Source organism: Homo sapiens, chromosome 8 (genome assembly GCF_000001405.40).
Source record: "Homo sapiens chromosome 8, GRCh38.p14 Primary Assembly".
NCBI lineage: Eukaryota > Metazoa > Chordata > Mammalia > Primates > Hominidae > Homo > Homo sapiens.
Genome location: NC_000008.11, coordinates 81,066,961 through 81,085,789, shown reverse-complemented (window position 1 = coordinate 81,085,789; position 18,829 = coordinate 81,066,961). Strand labels below are relative to the sequence as shown.

At 40.3% G+C, this 18,829-nt stretch overlaps 1 protein-coding gene across 17 annotated transcripts in view; it reads left to right on the top strand.

Annotated features, from left to right (window-relative positions):
- PAG1 (phosphoprotein membrane anchor with glycosphingolipid microdomains 1) overlaps positions 1 to 18,829 on the top strand; it is a 144,259-nt gene that overhangs the window by 26,279 nt on the left and 99,151 nt on the right. For 11 of the 17 annotated variants that reach the window (XR_007060746.1, XM_047421989.1, XM_047421986.1 and 8 more), the window contains 2 exons: positions 836 to 8,459; positions 15,620 to 15,678. The gene's annotated coding sequence lies outside the window, so the exon portion shown is untranslated. The remainder of the gene's footprint in view (positions 1 to 835; positions 8,460 to 15,619; positions 15,679 to 18,829) is intronic. The other 6 variants (XM_047421993.1, NM_018440.4, XM_047421992.1 and 3 more) reach the window with 2 other exon arrangements.

Here is an 18,829-nt window from a genome sequence, read left to right as displayed (position 1 = left end):
AAGACTTACTCTGACCAAACAAAACTCAAATTTATTCAACATTATTTTTAGGTCTCAGGCACCTGGAGATGGTAGCCTGTGCTATACCTCAGCTGTGTAAGGATGTGTCATGTGTCCTTTTCACATAAAGGGAAAATAAGTCCTCACAAAATCCTATATATTCCTCTATTCCTCTCTGTTGGTAAATTTACTTCTGTGGACATAGGTAGGGTAATGTACTATTTTCTTTCCTAAGCACATTTCACGGTAGGCCAGTGGGCTGTTTTGGACTTGCATGTTGAGTACAGGATGGACTCTTGTTATTCTAGGAATGGGCTTGGTTGATCACAGAACACAATGCACCTTTTCATGATTTTAATGCCTGAGTTATTTAATTTTTTGTGCTACTTGTCACTTCACTGTTTAGTTTTCTTTCTAGGGTGCTTTTTGCTGGATTGGCTGTGAGTCAAGCTGGTTGATGAAGCTTCATTTTGCTAAATCTCCAGAATGGCTTGTTAATCCTTATTTTACATTTCACTGACTACTGTACCATGCAGTTTCCTTCTGTTCAACGAAGGAAGAGAAAATGGCTATATGAAGCAATAATGTGATGAATTTAGAGTCTAGCCGGAGGAATCGCCATTTGCTTCTAATTGGCACATGGAGCATAAAATCAGAGCCCTGATTTTTCTAAGAACTATTCCAAGTAAAGGCCCAACAACCATCTTAACTCAGAGCTACTCCTAGATTGTTTTAAAGTGCGTTCATCAATTTGAAGAGTATTTGTATTTATACATTTCTTGCCCTTCATTGTATCTTATTTGACTCTGATACTTTCTCTCAAATTTCTTAACAGTAACCTTTCATGTTGAACTGTAAAAAAAGAAAACGGACTTCATCTTAATGTATTTCACATAGATTTCCATTACTTTTCACTGTGTTTTTGCCACTCTGTACATTTTGCTTATAATAAAGGGTTGGTTAAAGGAAAATAGATGTAATTTTTGGCACTTGTCTGCTCTAATATCGTGACTGACACTCATAATGTACATCCAGTTCTCTTAAATCCCATAAAAAGCCATTGGGAAGAAAATTTTTGAGATAATATAAATATAATCTTACGTAAGACCTGTGTAGCCACTTCTTATAGACAGCTTAGGAAAGAAAGAAGCCTTCAAATAATTACCAAAGTAGGAAGAAAACTAAAAACCTCTCGTATTAAGGGTAATAATTGCAAAATGACACCCACATAGAAAAAGTCCCTTCCTTTCATTTTCTTGAAATATATTGAAACAAAAAGTTAACTAACATCATTTGGGTACCTTTTGAGAACTTTAAAATATATTATTTTAAAATTGATTTTCTTAAGGGTTAAATACATGGTTTTGAAGTTTTTCTTAAAGTATTTTGAAAGTATTTAAATTGATTTTATGTAAACTTTTGCTACTATTGGATGCAGCCTTTTCAGCATAGCAAATGCAATGTCCTTACTTAATGAGGTTTCTAATTTTTAACCTCAAAATGAAATGAAAAATTTGTTCTATTTCCAGGAACATGGAGTAGACATACTTTTCCCTGTTCTTCCCACTAAGTACAACTAAAATTCCTAGACATTGTTCATAAAACAAACGTAAGAAGACTCTGAAAGGTAGAGGAAAGATGGCAGAATATCTATAGACCTCAAAACCCAAGCAACACACAATAGTGAGTTACCTGGCTTTTCTTCTTTTTGAGTCGTATTTCCCAGAGCTCACATATTCCCTTTTTTTTTTTTCTAAGATGGAGTCTCGCTCTGTTGCCCATGCTGGAGTGCAGTGGTGCCATCTTGGCTCACTACAACCTCCACCTCCCAGGTTCAAGTGATTCTCCTGCCTCGGCCTCCCAAGTAGCTGGGATTACAGGCATGCACCACCACGCCTGGCTAATTTTTATATTTTCAGTAGAGATGGGGTTTCACCATGTTGGCCAGGCTGATCTTGAACTCCTGACCTCAAGTGATCTACCCGCCTCAGCCTCCCAAAGTGCTGGGATCATAGGTGTAAGCCACCACACCTGACTGAGATCCCATATATTCCTGATGAAGAAGGCAGCAAGTGGAAAACACCAACAGGCACATACAAAAACAAATAAGTAAAAGATGAAAATCTGTTTTCTGAAACCAGAGGACTAGAAAAGGTAGAGCCTAGCAAAATGGAAAACTTTTAGATAATAACTGTTGTACTCTAGCCAAGCCCCACAGAAAAAAAAATGTGGCCTCACCCTACCAGCAAAAGCTGATAGGGAAGCCTAAACTTCCACCCTTGCCAGCTCTAAATTGAGAGCTGGGGTGTCCCAAGGCACCCCAGCCCTCGCCACTGGGTAGTGTCACAGAAAACTGAGTAGGGAGCCAAGGCTTTTATTTCTGCTGCGTAGTAACAAGAGCCTCCACCTCAACCCCATGTAAGTAGAAACCATATGCGGAACCTGGGTTTCTACCCTCCCCAACTCCTAACAGTAATGAGGAGCCCTTTTCCTCTCCAACTGGGGTGGTGTTAGTGGACATCATGTGGGAACCAGAAACACTGTTTCTCCCAGCCAGGAAGTATTGTTGGAGGCCCGATGGAGAGCCAAAACTCCCACTCCTAACTAGCAGTAAGAATGCATCCCCCTCAGGTATCAGGGGAGGTGTAGTAGGGAACCTGATTCTACCCCAGTAATCAGGATGAACCAGCAATAATAACACAGTCTCCCCATTCCCTTCTGGGAGTGGTAACAGAGGAAGGCAACTAAAATAGAAAGTTTAAGTAAGATCCAAAGTCTCATAACATAATACCCAAAATGTCCAGGTTTCAATGAAAAAAAAAATCACTTGTGATACCAAAAACCAGGAAGATCTCACACTGAATGAAGAAAAAAAAAAGCAGTCAACAGAGGCCAGCACCAAAATGACAGGGATGTTAGAATTGTCTGCTAAGGATTTTAAAACAGCCATCATAAAAATGCATCACTGAGGAATTCTAAACATGCTGGATGCAAATGAAAAAATAGAAACCTCAGGAAATAAATAAGAAATATAATGAAGAACCTAGGGGGCATCTTAGAACAGAAAAATACAGTAACCCAAATAAAAATCTCAGTGGATGGGCTGGACAACAGAATGCAGGGGACAGGGGAAAGAATCAGTAAAGAGAGAACCATCAAAATTATTTTGTCTCAACACTAGAGAGAAAATAGAATAGAGAGCCTCAAGGACCTGTGGAACTACACTTGACATTTACCATTTGTGTCATTAGAGACCCATAAGAAGCATAGGAAGAGGGAGGGGCTGGAAAAGTACTTGAGCAATCATAGCTGAAGACTTGCCACATTTAACAGAAGACTGAAACCTACAGATACAAGGAGTTGAGTGTAGTAGGCCAAATAATGGCTCCCCCGCCAATGATGTTCATGTCTTGATTCCCAGAACTAGGGAATCAGGTTCCTTTTTTCTTTTTATTTTTTAATGTAGTAAAAGGGATTTTGCAGAGGTAATTAATTTCAGGATTTTTTTTTCTTTTCTTTTTTTTTTTTTTTTTTTTTGAGACAGAGTCTCACTCTGTTGCCCAGGCTGGAGCACAGTGGCACAGTCTCGGCTCACTGCAACCTCTGCCTGCTAGGTTCAAGTAATTCTCATGCCTCAGCCTCCCGAGTAGCTGGGACTACAGGTGTGTGCCACCATGCCTGGCTGATTTTTGTATTTTTAGTAGAGATGGGGTTTCGCTGTGTTGGCCAGGCTGGTCTTGAACTCCTGACCTCAGGTGTTCTGCCTGCCTCGGCCTCCCAAAGTGCTGGGATTACAGGCGTGAGCCACCATACCCGGCCAAGGATTTTGAGATACAGCAATATCACTCCTCAGCATTTAATCCCAGAGAAATAAAGTCACATTCTCACAAAAACCTGTGTATTAATGCTTATAGCAACCTTATTTGTAATAGTCAAAACTGGAAATAACCCAAATATCCTTTAATGGATGAGTGGCTGAACAAACCGGTACATCCATATCGTGGAATACTACTCCACAATAAAACAAAGGAGCTATTGATATATGCAGCAGCTAGTGTGCATCTCCAGAGAGCCATGCTGTGTGAATAAGCCCAATCCCAAATGGCTACATGTAACATGACTCCATTTATATAACATTCTTTAAATGATAAAGTCGTACAAATAGAGATGAGATTCACGATTGCTAGGAGTTAAGGATGTGGTAGGGACAGGAGGGAAGTGGGTGGGGCTACAGAAGGGCAACATGAGTAATACTTGGTGATGGAAATGTTCTATATCTTCCTTCTATCAGTGTGTTTACCTTAGTTGTAATGTTGTAATATAGTGTTGCAAGAAGTTACCAGTGAGGGAAACTGAGCAGTGGGTACATGAGATCCCTCTTTATTATAAGTAACTGCTTGTGAATCTATAACTATCTAAAATTTTAAAATTTAATTTAAAAAATAACTTTTAAAAATTTCTTGTAGCTACATCAATTTGAAAACACAATGCTATATCATATATAAAGAACTTTGCATGTCCAAGTTCAGAAAGATGTTAGTACGAAGTTGCCTCTTCTAAAGTCTGTTTTTTTTTTTAATTTGTTTGGAGATTGGGAAGGAAGGCAAGGGATTCTGTTTTATCAATCATATATGTTAAAAAATAGATAATATTTGTTAACTCCTAAACACCGTGTGAGGTCAGCATTATTGTAAAGAAGAACACTGAGACGCAGGGAGGTGGAATGATTTGCCCTGATGAGTAGTGAGGCCACATTTGGACTGGACAGTCTGGTCCCAAAGCCTGCATCCTTTCTTACTGACTATACTCTTTGGCCTATCTGCATAGGCTATTAGTATCCAAGTATCTTTCCGCAGCAGGACACTCACCTCAGAAGTTTTAAGCACTTTTCCTAGGTCACAGAGTCATAGCTGTGAGACTGAAATTCAAGACTTTTCCTATCAAAATCCCATCCTACTCCCACCTGGGAGAAGCCATATTCCAAATGGCCCTCAGACCTGATCCTCAAGCATATTTTGTTTGCTCACTTAGTGCTGGGCAGTAGATTATTCTTTTTAAATTTACATTAGCAGTATATATTTAAACATTGTGAGATATGTAAAAATCCAGGCTTCTAGCTTCTCAGGAAAAATAAGAAAATCTGCCAACACTGGGTGTACATTCTCAAATTCTCTCAAAGGAGTTAGATATAGGATGTTTAGGGACTGCCTCTTACAGCCTCTTTAGATGAGGTTGTTTGCCTCAGTCCTTACCACTACTTACCCAGAGACCACAACCAACCATCAGCTGGTTTTTATTGTGCAACACTGTTGTTTTTCTTACAGTAGAGGAAATGCCTCTACCCACCTAGCTACCAAATCATGGCTTTTATGTTTTACCTTTTATCTTAATAATTTGGGTGGTTGTATTCTTCCTGATTATAAACTACTTAAAGTTCTATTTCTGAAAATCTCCATTATTAGTGGATTTGCAGTTGTTAAACTTAAGACCCCCATAGAATTGAAGGTGCTGAAATCACTAGTCCATCTACGAAGGCTAGTCACTAAAACGAAATAGGCATACATGAACTAGAATATATCTCCTTCAATACTTCTTAAATTAGAAAATTATGAGTATTGCGCAGTCACTGTGTTCGTCATTACAATTGCTTTAACATTCCTTTGTAAAGACTTTCTAGTAGTTTTGCGGAGATTCAATGAGGTGCTTATAAATTGATTTTGTGCCAGGTGCAGTGGCTCATGCCTGTAATCCCAGCACTTTGGGAGGCCTTGATGGGAGGATCACTTGAGCCCAGGAGTTTGAGACAAGCCTGGGCAAGATGGCAAAACTCAACCTCTACAAAAAATTTTAAAAATTATCCGGGCATGGGGGTATGTGCCTTTAGTCCCAGCTACTCAGGAGGCTGAGGTGGGAGAATCACTTGAATCTGGGAGGTTGAGGCTATAGTGAGCCATGGTCGTGCCACTGTACTCCAGCCTGAGCAACAGAGCGAGACCCTGTCTCAAAAAAATAAATAAATAAATGAAATAAATTGATTTTGCTTCATGGCATGCGATACGCATAATAATAATAATAATAAGTATTTCTTCTGTGTCTGGCTTTCTACTGAAGTATTTTCAGTTCTACAATTCAAGGCCCCTCCACCCCTATTGGTCTTTCTCTTAAGGGGCCCAACTCTGAGTGTCTCTCCTGAGTCTCATATGCTCAGTCTGAAATAGTTGACCAAGTAGGAAATGGAAGTAAAGAATTTCACGGAAGGGGAATTTGCCATGAGGGAAGGGTTAATAAGTTATTCCTGTTGATCGCCTTTGTAATGCCTAGCACATTCTCGTTACAGAGTAGACATCCAGAAGTGAAATGATTATGTTTGATGCTGAACTCCTAAGTAATTCAATATTGTCTGAGGATAATAGTCCTGCAAATTATATTACAGTCAGAAGTGTTTTTGTTTTTGTTTTTTTCCAGTCGAGGAGTAGATGACTGGAGGCTGCCTTGTTTGCGTGAGTGGTGTTGGGATGACCTTCCAGGCTGGGCATGTGATTCCTGAAGAAGTGGCTACTTGTTTGGCTCCTATATCAATGCAGAAATTAGTGTTTGAGCTGATAGGAAGTAAGGGGGGGAAATCAAGGAGTGGAAAGGCTGCTTGGGATGGAATCTGTAGACTCTTTCTGTCTGACCTCTGGTTGCTAATCTATGTTATTGTTACTGGAAGGGGAGGCCTGCAAAGGTTGAGTCCTGGCAAGGATATCACCAGAGCAGGAGATCAGTGACTTCTTAGCTTATAATTCCACTGTAGGTGAAACTCTAGCATTTGCAGGCAAGATGGAAGATAAGGAAGTGGGTGAAGGGGTGAAAAATGAAATAAATATTGAATAAAGCGCCTGTACTCTGGAACCAGATTGTGCGTTTTTAGTTTCTGCCTCACTCTGTCATACTATTGTGTAAGCTTGAGCAAATAAGTTATCTCTGAATGCTTCAGTTTCCTCATGTGTAAAATGGGAATAATAATAGTATTTACCTCATCGTGTAAACAGCCAGTAAGTAGCAGCATCTCTGCACTGGACAATTTTTCTTTTGTCAATTGCTCTTTTTATTCGGTACCTACAGTGTCATCTAAATAGCCTGTCCCTTAGTGTATGGAGTCAGGAGACTAAGAAGAAATTTAGGGAAAATAAGGAAGGATAAAGGAATAATAAGCAAGGATGAAGGATTGCCTGCATTTGAGACCCTTGTCAATGTGTGTTTTCTCCAAAGAAAATGTGTCTCTTTTCCAAAGAAACATAGATGTGTCTCTTTGGAGAACTTGTTTCCAACCTTAGATGATTTTTCAGATTCAGTCTGTGTGCTAAACTCAAATCTTCTCATTTTCTAAGTACATCTGTTCATGACTTATAATATGTTAGGAAGGTATTTTGCCCTGGTGAAGAAGGACTTAGTTCTTATTCCTACTTAACTAAGGGATAGAGAAGAAAAACCTTCAAATTACAATGAAATTGATTGACCTCAATTCTTTTTAGATATTTGTCTACAAAATGTCTTTAGTAATAGGTTTTAATACTTTTGCAGTTGATTTTACTAAACAGATTAAAAATTTAAGCCCACTTAACCTCAATAAACAAGTATATGAAGTCACATACAACTAAGTACTTCAAACCCAGAAACTCTGGCACTGAAGGAGATAAAGTAGCAGACACCTTCTGTGTATTTTCCTACTTCTGTACCTCAAGACATTTGCTGTGTACATTTATAACAATGGCCATGTCGGAAATAATATTTTTGGGTTTATGGATTTTTATTGATCTATTTCATTTACGTGGGTTTGATCCCAAATGATGGGATGATGTTCTCTTATGAAGACCATGCCTTGAGGGAAAGGAGAGTGCTTTTAAGTAAGCCTGTTCCCTTCTGGCTCTCTTTGATAGGGTGGTCTCTCCCAGGGTTTATTTAGGAAATGATGGAACACAGGTCAGTCTGTCCTTGTCTCTAACCAATCTAAACATTTTGCTTTCAGCAAAATTTACATATTATTTTCAAACCTTTACTCCACATCTTGCATTATTGATTTGATTAATCTCTGCTGTTTTTAAGGCATATCTTCTTCAAGACAGCATTTTTCTTTTATATCCAACAAATTCCTTTCAGATTTCTAAATGCGAAAAAAAAACTTAGTTGTGGACAAAAGTACAGCCATTCTCTTTACACCTGAAGAAATTAATGTTTTTTCGATAAAAGTCACCATATGTTAGGAGGGTGACAATTGGTATTCAAATGTGAGTGAGGAAAAGAATAAAGACTGAGGCAAACAAATATTACCATTATTGCAGTGTTCCCTGCAATCTGTGGGTTGTTATTTATTTACAGTTTTGTTCCTGTAGGCCCACAGAAGAGAAATGCAAGGAGGAGTACTCCTGAAGTAGAAGAGGCTGTAGAAGGTTGGAATAGAGAGCAACAAATCCCAGGTCAGGATGTGGAAGGGCTTACAAATCACTTAGGCTGTCTGGGTCCCAAACTTTCTCAGCTGTAAAATGAAGCAGTTGAACTTAATGGTTCTCTAGTTGGTGCCTCTTAGACTTTAATGTACATCCTGTTAAATGTGCAGATTCTGACTCAGTAGATCTGGAGTGAGGCCCAGGGTTTGCCTTTCTAACGAGCTCCTGGGGGGTGCCAATGCTGCTGGTCTGCAGATCACACACTGTTTAGCAAGCTCTGCACGATTTCTAAGCTCAAGCTTCCATTAACTCTACGATTCTATGAACGTGCAGTCAGCTGACATTTTAGAAAAGACAGGAAGGTTTCATGAAACATGCCTACCATGGTATTAACCATTCTCATTCTTCATAATCATCTTCATCAAAAACTCTTTAAGTGCCTAATTATGCATAACAGCTTCCCATGCTTTACAAAAGTATATTTGGTCTTTGCCTTATCAGACTTGACAACCTAAGACAGAGAAATATGTATAGAGACAGTAATAAATATTGAGGCAGTAATAAATATTGAGTAATAAATGTTCATCCAGATATAGAACACATTAAAATTTTTTAAAAAGTATGTACTTAGCATGGGCCCTAGGATATTTATTTTCTTACAGCTTGTCTTCCTTTCAAAATCTGAGAAACCAAAGAAGTTGCCCTATAATTTTTACATGAAAGTAAGAGATTTCTCTTTCTGTTTTGCAGATAGGGGTTGGAAATGGGAAGGTCAGTTTCTGAGGCTACTTTTAATGTTGTTGTTTGCTTTGTTTTGGCCTCACTGACTTAAAAAGAAATATTTTATCAGCCCTGAATGCCTAACCCTAATTACCATATGCAGGTGCCTTGGCTTGACTTTGTGCTTCTCAGCACTGTGTGTGTACATAGGCTTATTAAATTAGCGTCAGCTCCTCCTACCCAAGGACCTCAGGCCCATCTAGTCACCCTCACATCATCCTTGGGAAGCAAAGGAGGCAGAGCTAGACATTGTTATCTCTGAATCATGGGCTGTTAGGTGATACCAAGAAGGAAACTGGTATGTCCAAAGCCTTGTGATAATTCACATGGGAAGCTTTGGATTTGATTCTGTTTCTTCTGTACACATTTGCATTTGCTGAACTGACCTAAGGACTTGATCTGCCTTGGTGTGGGAAAGGATCAGATAAGAAGTCATTGCTGGCATTTTCTCTTGAAAGCAGAACAGGTTCTGTTCCCGGAGGCCAGGTCACCAACCAACAGAGATTGTGTTCAGGTACCTGTAGTGATAAGCCAGTTTGTTATAACTGTATCACAGGTTAGCAGAGTGATGTCAGGATGGCTCATTTCATTGATTATTGTAACTTAGCAAGAGCTACAAGAATTATCACAGATCTAGAAAATGGTCACATCTAAGCAAGGGTCTCTGTATCAGATATTTACCAACAGTGAGATTAGAGACCCTTGTTTACACCTTCTCAACTCAAGTAGGCACATATAATATTTAGTAGTGACTATGTGTATGCTCAGAGATGCGGGAAAGCGGAGGGAGCTGTGTGTGCCACGCTCTTGGGCTTCAGCTGTGTGTTATCTTGTGTGTGTGCGTGAGGAGCTGCTGTGGAATCAGGTGCACTTGGGTTTGAAACTTGGCTCCACCACTCACTGGCTGTGTCACTTCACATTTCTAGGCCTCAGTTTCCCCATCTGTAGGATCAGTGTAACAATAGTATGAATCCTTGTGAGCATTAAGTAAGATGAGGATATATGGAATGTATAGCATGGTGTCTGCAAATAGTACTTGATTATTAGTAATCATAGTAAAACTCATACACGACAGCATCTGAAATTACTTGTCTTTAAAGAAGTTAGAGATTCTTAATTATTTCACATGCAAGTGTTTGTACAGGAGGTAGTGTCTGGGTTCATGAAAATGTCACACTCATTTTATTATGAATAAAGCTTTTAAGGAGGCAAAGCCTCCATTAACTAGACTCAACCTCATCTTTCATGCTAATGTCATACACAACTGTTTTCTCTTTTTTATAAAATTATAAAGAGGCAAGTCAGTCTACTCATACTAGAAGATACAAAACCCTGACTATTATATAGCAGGAAGCTAAACTTCTAAAAAGCCACAAATGGCAATACTATACATTTTGCATTAGGGTCTTGGAATAGATCTATATGGACACATGGAATTACACAGGCTGAATTGAGGACACTAAGTATCTGGTTGCCTTCTCTCTGGCAAACGAGAGTGGAGATAGGTACCTGGTTGCAGGAAGTAAGGAGATGCTCTTTGCCTACAGACAGTGAGGGAAGGCTAACCAGCATTTGGAGGGGCAGCGTTCTTTGGGAAATTGAATTTTAAGCCTGCTAACCATATCATAAGACTGCAAGGCCTGGCAGAACAAGAGCATGAGGCAGCTGGATAGAAACCCAAGAAACCAAAATGAGCGACTTAAAGTGGAGCTGTTTGAAGGGGAAACAGAGCCCCAGGGAATTTCCTAACCTCAGAATGCTATTCACTCACCCTTTTTTATAGGGTGTCTGTGGCTTCTGGTTGCCTGCAAATTGAGCCAGCATGGTGCAGATGTGACAGTGGTTTAAGGCTGTTTTTCCCCAAATTTAGTGTGAATCACCTGGGGGTCTTATTAGAATGCAGAGTCTGATTCAGTAGATCTGAGGTAGGGTCTGAGATTCTGCCATTTTCAGCAAGTCCCCAGATACTGCAGAAACTGCTGGTCTGGGACCATACTTTAAGTAGCAAGTGTCTAATCCACTCTCTCCTCAACCATTTCATCCTCTGATCACCACCTTCTGTCTTCTATCCCCTGTGCCTTAACTCCAACCATTTGTGGCCCACCAGTACTCACCATCCAGTGATCCTGCTAATTTTCCTTGTCTGTCACCCCCTCCAGTTCTCCTTTCCTAGTTATCTAGCTTAGATTCCATGATCTTGTGTTATAATTATTCTTTTGCATCCACCCTCAGGTTCTTTGCTGCTCCCTCTTCCCTCATGATCCTCACTGGCAAAACCCCAACCCTGCGTAACACAGCTCTCTCCCCACGCCACATCTTCACCTACACTGGTGAGTGCGGCTGAAGGAACACACATCACTGTGCTCACAGGTCCCACTTTCGTCTCAGTGGGTCCCTGTGCCGCTATTCTGTCCATTGTTCTGCTTTTCTGGATCATCTTCTTGTGTCCTGTCCTCAAACCTCAAATACCTCCCTCTCCATCCTCATTCTCAGCTAATAATCTTGCTGCCTTTCCTGGATCTGCCCACATGTCTGCACGTGTGCCCACACCTGGCCAGTGCTCCCCTCAGTGGGTGTGGAAGCACCAGGCATGCTGTAGCTCTCTGAGGGGTGCCCAAGGTGGGCACATGGAGGGGCCAGTGGAACCAGCCCCCTCTGACCTGCCTCCCCCCCACCTTCAGGTCTGTGCTCAGCTAACATTTTCTCAGTGCTGCCTTTCCTGACTCCCCAACTCAAAGCAGCGCCCACTCCCCAGGCAGTCCCTACCTCCACAGTGCCTCTGTGGTTTTCTTCAGTGATTGTCACAGCTATGCTGCTAGATGGTGGGTTTGTTCCCCACCTCCACTAGAAAGATACATAGGACAGGGAATTTCATCTTGGTCAATATCGAAACCCCCACCTAGAATAGTGGCTGACATATGGACATTCTCCTTAAAGAAAGTATTTGGATAGATACTAGCATGGGAGATGTGATTGTGTTTGGACAGAATCAGAAAAAGCCAACTAGGAAGAACTGCATATCCACACATGTATTTAAAAAGCCACTCCCGGTCTTTTTGAATAGACAAGGCTAAGGAAGATCCCTGTTCAGGGATACTTTTGGACCTGAATATGCTGAATTTACTAGAGATTGTTGAGCCCACCAGGCCCTTTGGGGATCAGGAGGGGAAAGGACCAACATCAAATTCCATCTGAGAATCCTGTCGCTTGTCTCATTTGATGCTCTCAGGGAGGTTGGTAGTGTGAGTCAGGATTTAACCACCCGACACTGCTCTGCACTCCGTAGCATTGTCATACTCACTTGGGACACTAGCAGAGCTGTAACCAGTTCTATTTTACAAATCTGCAGGCTAAATATGCCTAATTCGCTGTGGTTTGAGGAAAAGAGATATATCATGGCTATGCCTAGGACTCCATGTGGGCCAATCCTGATGAAAACAACCACAGGACAAGTTGGCAGTGGAAATGTCCTAAGATGGCACAGAATGAAGTTGATTGCCATGAAAATATGTTGTGCTGGTCATTCTCAAGGAGTCAGGCGTTCAGTCTACTGAAAGTGAAGGAAAGGCATATCTAGCAATACTTCTTATTTTATTTTGAGGAGTTCTGCTTTTAATAACATTGTCAGCATGCACTAAATCATTGTCTCTCAAGGTTTTGAGCAGCTGTGATGCAGAGGGAAAAGCACAGGGTGTTTTGTGCGTATTGGATGAGATAACTGACCTCATGCAGGGCTGAGAATACAACAGGTGCTTTTTACATGCACCCACTCCCTCATCTATGCCCTTTCCAATGGTCCCCATCCACACTACTGTTTTTCTGCATGATATGAAAGTTAAGATATAAATATGAGAGTATGTGAGTATGTGTTTGTGTTTAAGAGATGCCCTCACTCTGTCGCCCAGGCTGGAGTGTAGTGGCACAACATAGATCACTGCAGCCTCAAAATCCTGGGCTCAAGCAATCCTCTCACCTCAGCCTCCTAAGTAGCTGGGATTATAGGTGTGAGCCACTATGCTCAAATTATTGTGTTTTAATAAGTCATCATTCATTTTAGACCAGTGATTTTCAACATGGGGATGATTTTGCTCCTAAGGGGATATTTGTTGAAGTCTGGAGACATTTTTGTTTATTACAACTCAGGGCAGGAAATGCTAGCCCCTCAAAACAAAGAATTCTCCAGCCCCAAATGTCAGCAAGGCCAGGGTTGAAAGCCCTGTTTTAGAGCATGTATTTTACATTGGTGTTTATAGTTATTTCCTCATTGGACTCTAAATAAATGAAGGAGAGAATTGAGAAGGATGTGACTGGCTGAGGACACAGTGGGACAGGAGGTTGGAACAAGTTGGGGGACCCACCTATCAGGTGCCAGGATTCACTGACTCTTTACAAGCACACTACAGTTTCCAGCTTAAAAACAAGTGCTTTATTAGATATACTCACTAGCAGAACCCCAACCCTGCATAACCCAGCTCTCTCCCCACGCCACATCTTCACCTACGCTGGTGAGTGTAGCTGAAGGAGCACACATCTCAGTGGGCCCCTGTGCCGCTGGTCTGTTCTCTCTTCTATACTGGTTAAGCCTCTAAAGCAGATAGGGTGGCAGAAGCACGGAGGACTCAGGAGGGCAGTGAGCATGATGAGATGACACTGGACAGGCTGGGCACTGTGATGGGGAAATTGTCACAATGCCAGGGGCTTGGGTTTTGTCACAAGGGCTGTGGAGAACAAGCACGGATGGGGCCCTCCAGAGCCAAACTATCCTGTTCTTTTCTGTACTGTATTCACAACCTGTTCATACTCCTCTTATCCCTTGCGTCTCTCTGTATTGTGCTACTTACTTGTAACTTGGGCTCCTGAACTGGGCCTTGTCATCTTTGCCTTTGTGTGCCCCTTGTATATAGCACAGAGATTTATCAGTAAGTGTTTATTAAACAGATTTGGTGGTGTTTTAGACACCACTAGCAGCCTCTCAAAATAATTGTTTCTCCACTTTTGAACAAGTACTATTCCCAAATACTTGTTCCCAATGCAATTGTTTAGAGCTTGAAATGCATCCTCCTGGTTTTATAAATGATAGGTTTTCAGACTGGTGGGGAAATTTCCCAGCACCCACAGTGTTGTTGAGCCATAATGCTTAGTAGCCCAGGATGTGGGATTTCCCAGCAAAAGGCCAAGAGAAGAGAGTTTCCATTGCCTTTCTTCGTTGTGTGTGGACTCTTGGCAAGTGGGTTCTTTACCATTCTACTGCCTCTCTTGGCATGGAACCTTCTCTCACCTTCTACTGCACTTTTCTCTTGGTACTCATATTCAGGCGGCTCTTAGACCACATGGGTTAAGAGTCTGGGTGTTCATGTCTTGCTGGCCACTGTGGAGTCTGACACTGGAGCTCATGGAGGAATTACCACCTTGCTTATTGTCAGCTTGACTATTTGGTCTTTCAAATGTTACTTTGCTTTTCATTTCTTCTAAGAAATAGCTCTTTCTTTTCTCTTTTAAACTTTACCAAAAAAGAAAAGAAATAGCTCTTTCTTTTCTCTTTTAAACTTTACCAAAAAAGAAAAGAGGGGAGAGGAGGCACCAGTTTCCCCCAGTGGATATTTCTCCTGAGAAAATTCAGTCTCGTTATCAGGTTCATTCTTTAACTACCCATGCTTTTTACTTCCACTTAGCATATTTTCAGATGTCTACTTAGATGCACAGTTCTACAAAAACAGAATTTTCGATTTGAGATTACATTCCTCAAACTCAAATCACACTTATTCTTGGAGAAGTGATCTTTATAAGTGATAGTTTTATTTTTAAGCATAAGAAGCCATGTTAACAAAAATACAGCATATTTAAAGATGAAGACATTAAATAATATAGCTAAATATAACAATTATCACGTCTCTATACAATTTTGTTTCACCTTTTTTTTTTTGTGCTGAAAAGACTTTCATCTTCTTGAGGCATACAACCAATTTTGTTTTTGCTTAATCCATGTGCATTGCACATGGGCTCTAGGGGTCTGTGTTTGAGGTGTGCAGGTGCAGTGCTGGTGATAACTCCTAGTTACTGTTATCATTGGTGGGATTGAGTTAGAAGGCAGCAATGATTAAAACGAAGTATGGACATAATTTATTACTACATGCAATTAATGCCATCATTTTTACTTTTCTACATGTATAAAATTAGGGATAATGTTTAGGTCTGGATGTTTTAAGAGCAGGTTTTAGCTTTTGCTTTTTAACATTCTTTTATTATAGTATTAAAGCAGTAAAAGCTAATTAAATAAGCCTTTTTCAGTTGCTTACTGTTGGCCAAATGTTAAATAAGTAAATAACAAGATGATCATTTTACTCTTAATTGTTGCAGTTTTAATCCAGTTCAGAATTTTGAAATTGTTTTCTCTTGTGTTTCTTTTCCAGAAAACACGAGATTTTTCTCCTATTTCAGCAGTTGGCCACAACTTCATTGCTGGGAAAAGGTGATTTCAAAGTATTTATTTATCTGGTTTATTCTACATTATTACTCATTCAAACTGGCTTTTAGTTTAACTTTGCATGCATCAGTTGTTGATTTGGAGACTCTGTTTGGGTTAAGTCTGCAGACACACAGCTTCTAAGCTGAAAAACATCCAGGGAATGAGCTTGTCTGATTTGAATTTAGCAACTTAGGTCTTCTGCGATAGAAACCAAGACGCCAATGGGTATACTTCCTACAACATGGTGTTTCCCTTTGATTGGTGGTAAGCCCATCCATGGCTGAGCTTTGTAAAGCCTCTGTGAAGTTGGGCTAAATGCCTACTCTGTCTCAATCTCTTTCCTCATCTTTGAGACAGGGATAATAATTGGATAGTCTCATGGGCTTGATAGAGAGATTAATAGGATACACAGTGCTCACTGCCACCACCACCAAAAATATACGAGGCTGTGTTTTTGGTTATCATTATTCATGGTATTAATAATCTCATTTTGTGCTGATGATAAAGTTATGTTAATAATTCCTTAATAACCTTGGGTCATCTTCTGCGAACAGACCAAATGTGGAAAAATCATTCAGACTAAATGAACAGGTTAACACAAAGACATTCTGTCTTTTATTTTAGAAATTCATTTACTACAATGGTTATCAGTGTTTATAATGAATCCTGGACTTCGAAGCACTATGTCCACCCATTTGAAAGATTTATTTTACAAACCTCAAGTGTTATGGCCTGCCCGACTCATATTCATTTTAAATCATTATCCAATGCCTGTATGGCCTGGAAAGGAATTCATCTGGTCTAAGTTTTCCCAATCTCTTCACCAAAGGAATCTTGTAAAATAGGCCACTGTCTTTTAATTAAATCTTTGCTTCAACTTACTGAGAAATTCCTTCTCTTGCCAGAGTAACCCTTTCCTCTTAGGAGAGCAGGGAGCTATTTCAGGGTTATTTTGGTTCCCCTCTGAGGCCACAGTCTTTCTAAATATAACTGCAGATCCTGGAAATCAGCCTGCCTTTTGTTAGTTAACTTAGGCTAAAGAATCAGTGCATTAAGACCTTTGATTATCCACATTCTAAAAACGCCTTCCTCTGATCTCCTAATATTTGACAAGAATCTCGATTCAGGGATTAGACATTTTCTCTAATGCATTTCCATTTCCACTAGAGCTGCTCGCCTTACACACATTATGGCCTGAAATGTAGAGCATTTTCCGGTTGGGGGTAATGAAGATTTAACTCAAGAATCTATATACTTTAGAATAGGCATCACATGTTTCTGTAATAGAATCACATTCCTCCCAATTTCTGGAAAGCGTTGTGTGGTACTTTTTTGTACATGGCTGACTTCTTGAGTTTTACTCCATCTGACCCTCCTATAGAAGCTAAGCTTGAGGTCAATGTTTGTATCTTATTTTAGTACCTACAACATCTAATAAATGCCTGGAGCATAGTAACACACAGTGAATGCTCTAATTTCTTTAAATGAATATATCTCTGACACTAAAGAAGATAGAATTCATGAAAAGTAATTTATCTCAAGCTGAGCTTTTTTTCTGACTAGATATAAGCATTCTTCTCAACAATAATGCTTTGCTTGTTATTTTCGCCACATTAAAGAAGTGCCACCAAAACCAATTTATGTCCCCTTTCCCTCTTCTGCTGAGATCAGAACTAACATGGTGGCTACATTCTTTTGAAACTTGTAATTGTGTGTCATTTCCACAGTGGAAGTAGATTCAGACAGTATCTGCACCAACTTTAGTGGTAATAGTAGCGACTTTATGATGTTTTAATTTGAAATTCAAAATTTTAAATTGTCCCAACCCATTTTCAGGCTTCCAATGTGCCTGTGCCTTGGAAATGTATTTCAAACTTCCATAGTTGTTCTTTCCAGTTATTAGAAACATAAGCAAAGCAGGCTGGGTGCAGTGCTCACGCCTGTAATCCCAGCACTCTAGGAGGCCGAGGCGAGCAGATCACTTGAGGCCAGGAGTTCGAGACCAGCCTGGCCAACATGGTGAAACCCCGTCTTTACTAAAAATACAAAAATTAGCCGGACATGGTGTTGCACACCCGTAATCCCAGCTACTTGGGAGGCTGAGGCACAAGAATTGCTTGAGCCTAGGAGGCAGAGGTTTCAGTGAGCTAGGATTGCCCCCCAAAAAAGAGAAACACAAGCAAAGAGAACACAGAATCAGCAACCGTCCAGGGAGATGTGCACTCCTAAGCTGAATTAACAAATAAGTGTGTTTCTTGAGAGGCCAGAGTTAACACAATTAGTGATGAACTGCGTCTTTGAGGAGCTAGGGGAAAATAATGGGATTCATTTTTAATTCAAACCAATTCTAAGCAAGAGCCTTGGCTTTCTGGAGTGGCTTTGTAATCAAAGGTTACCGCAGGGCTTGTCAGAACTTTTAACAACTGTCTCCACTGTGAAAATGGTCTTAAGTTGTAAGGTGATTGCAGAGCTGAGGAAATGATGACTCTAGCCAGCTTTTGTCTCGCATTTGATCTTTGGCTCACAAAGACGAGGTTAATTTCAGCATAAGCTGTTAGCTTTATTTTTTAAATCAGTCAATTTTAATAGCAGCCTGCTTATGCCCTGAAAAACATCCAAGAGCAGTAAGAAAGAGTTGGCCTGGAATATAAATGTTACAGTATAAATCTTAGCTATCTCTAGGCCAGTAGTCAACAAAATACTTTGCAGTCAGTCTAATTAATCTTTCATTTTCTTTTTGCTATCCTTCCTTGTGTTTATTGTGTGTGTGTGTTTTCTGAACTATAAAGCATATACATAGTCACGATAGTTGGAAAATTTAATACTCTCAAGGAAGAAAAAAGTTTCCTTGTGAATCCATTACCCAAAGAGAACCATTGTTAGCATCTTGGCTGGTACTTTTCCCTGAGAATTTTTCCCAGGCAAACATACATAATTTTTAAATTCCTTTTGGTTTTGTTTGCTTTTAGAGACAGGGTCTCACTTTGTGGCCCAGGCTGGACATAGCTCACTGTAGCCTCAAACCCCTGAGCTCAAGAGATCCTCCTACTTCAGCCTTCCAGGTAGCTAGGAATACAGGCACGTGCCACCATGCCTGGCTACTTTTTTTTATTTTTTGTAGAGATGGGGTCTCACCATATTGCCCAGGCTGATC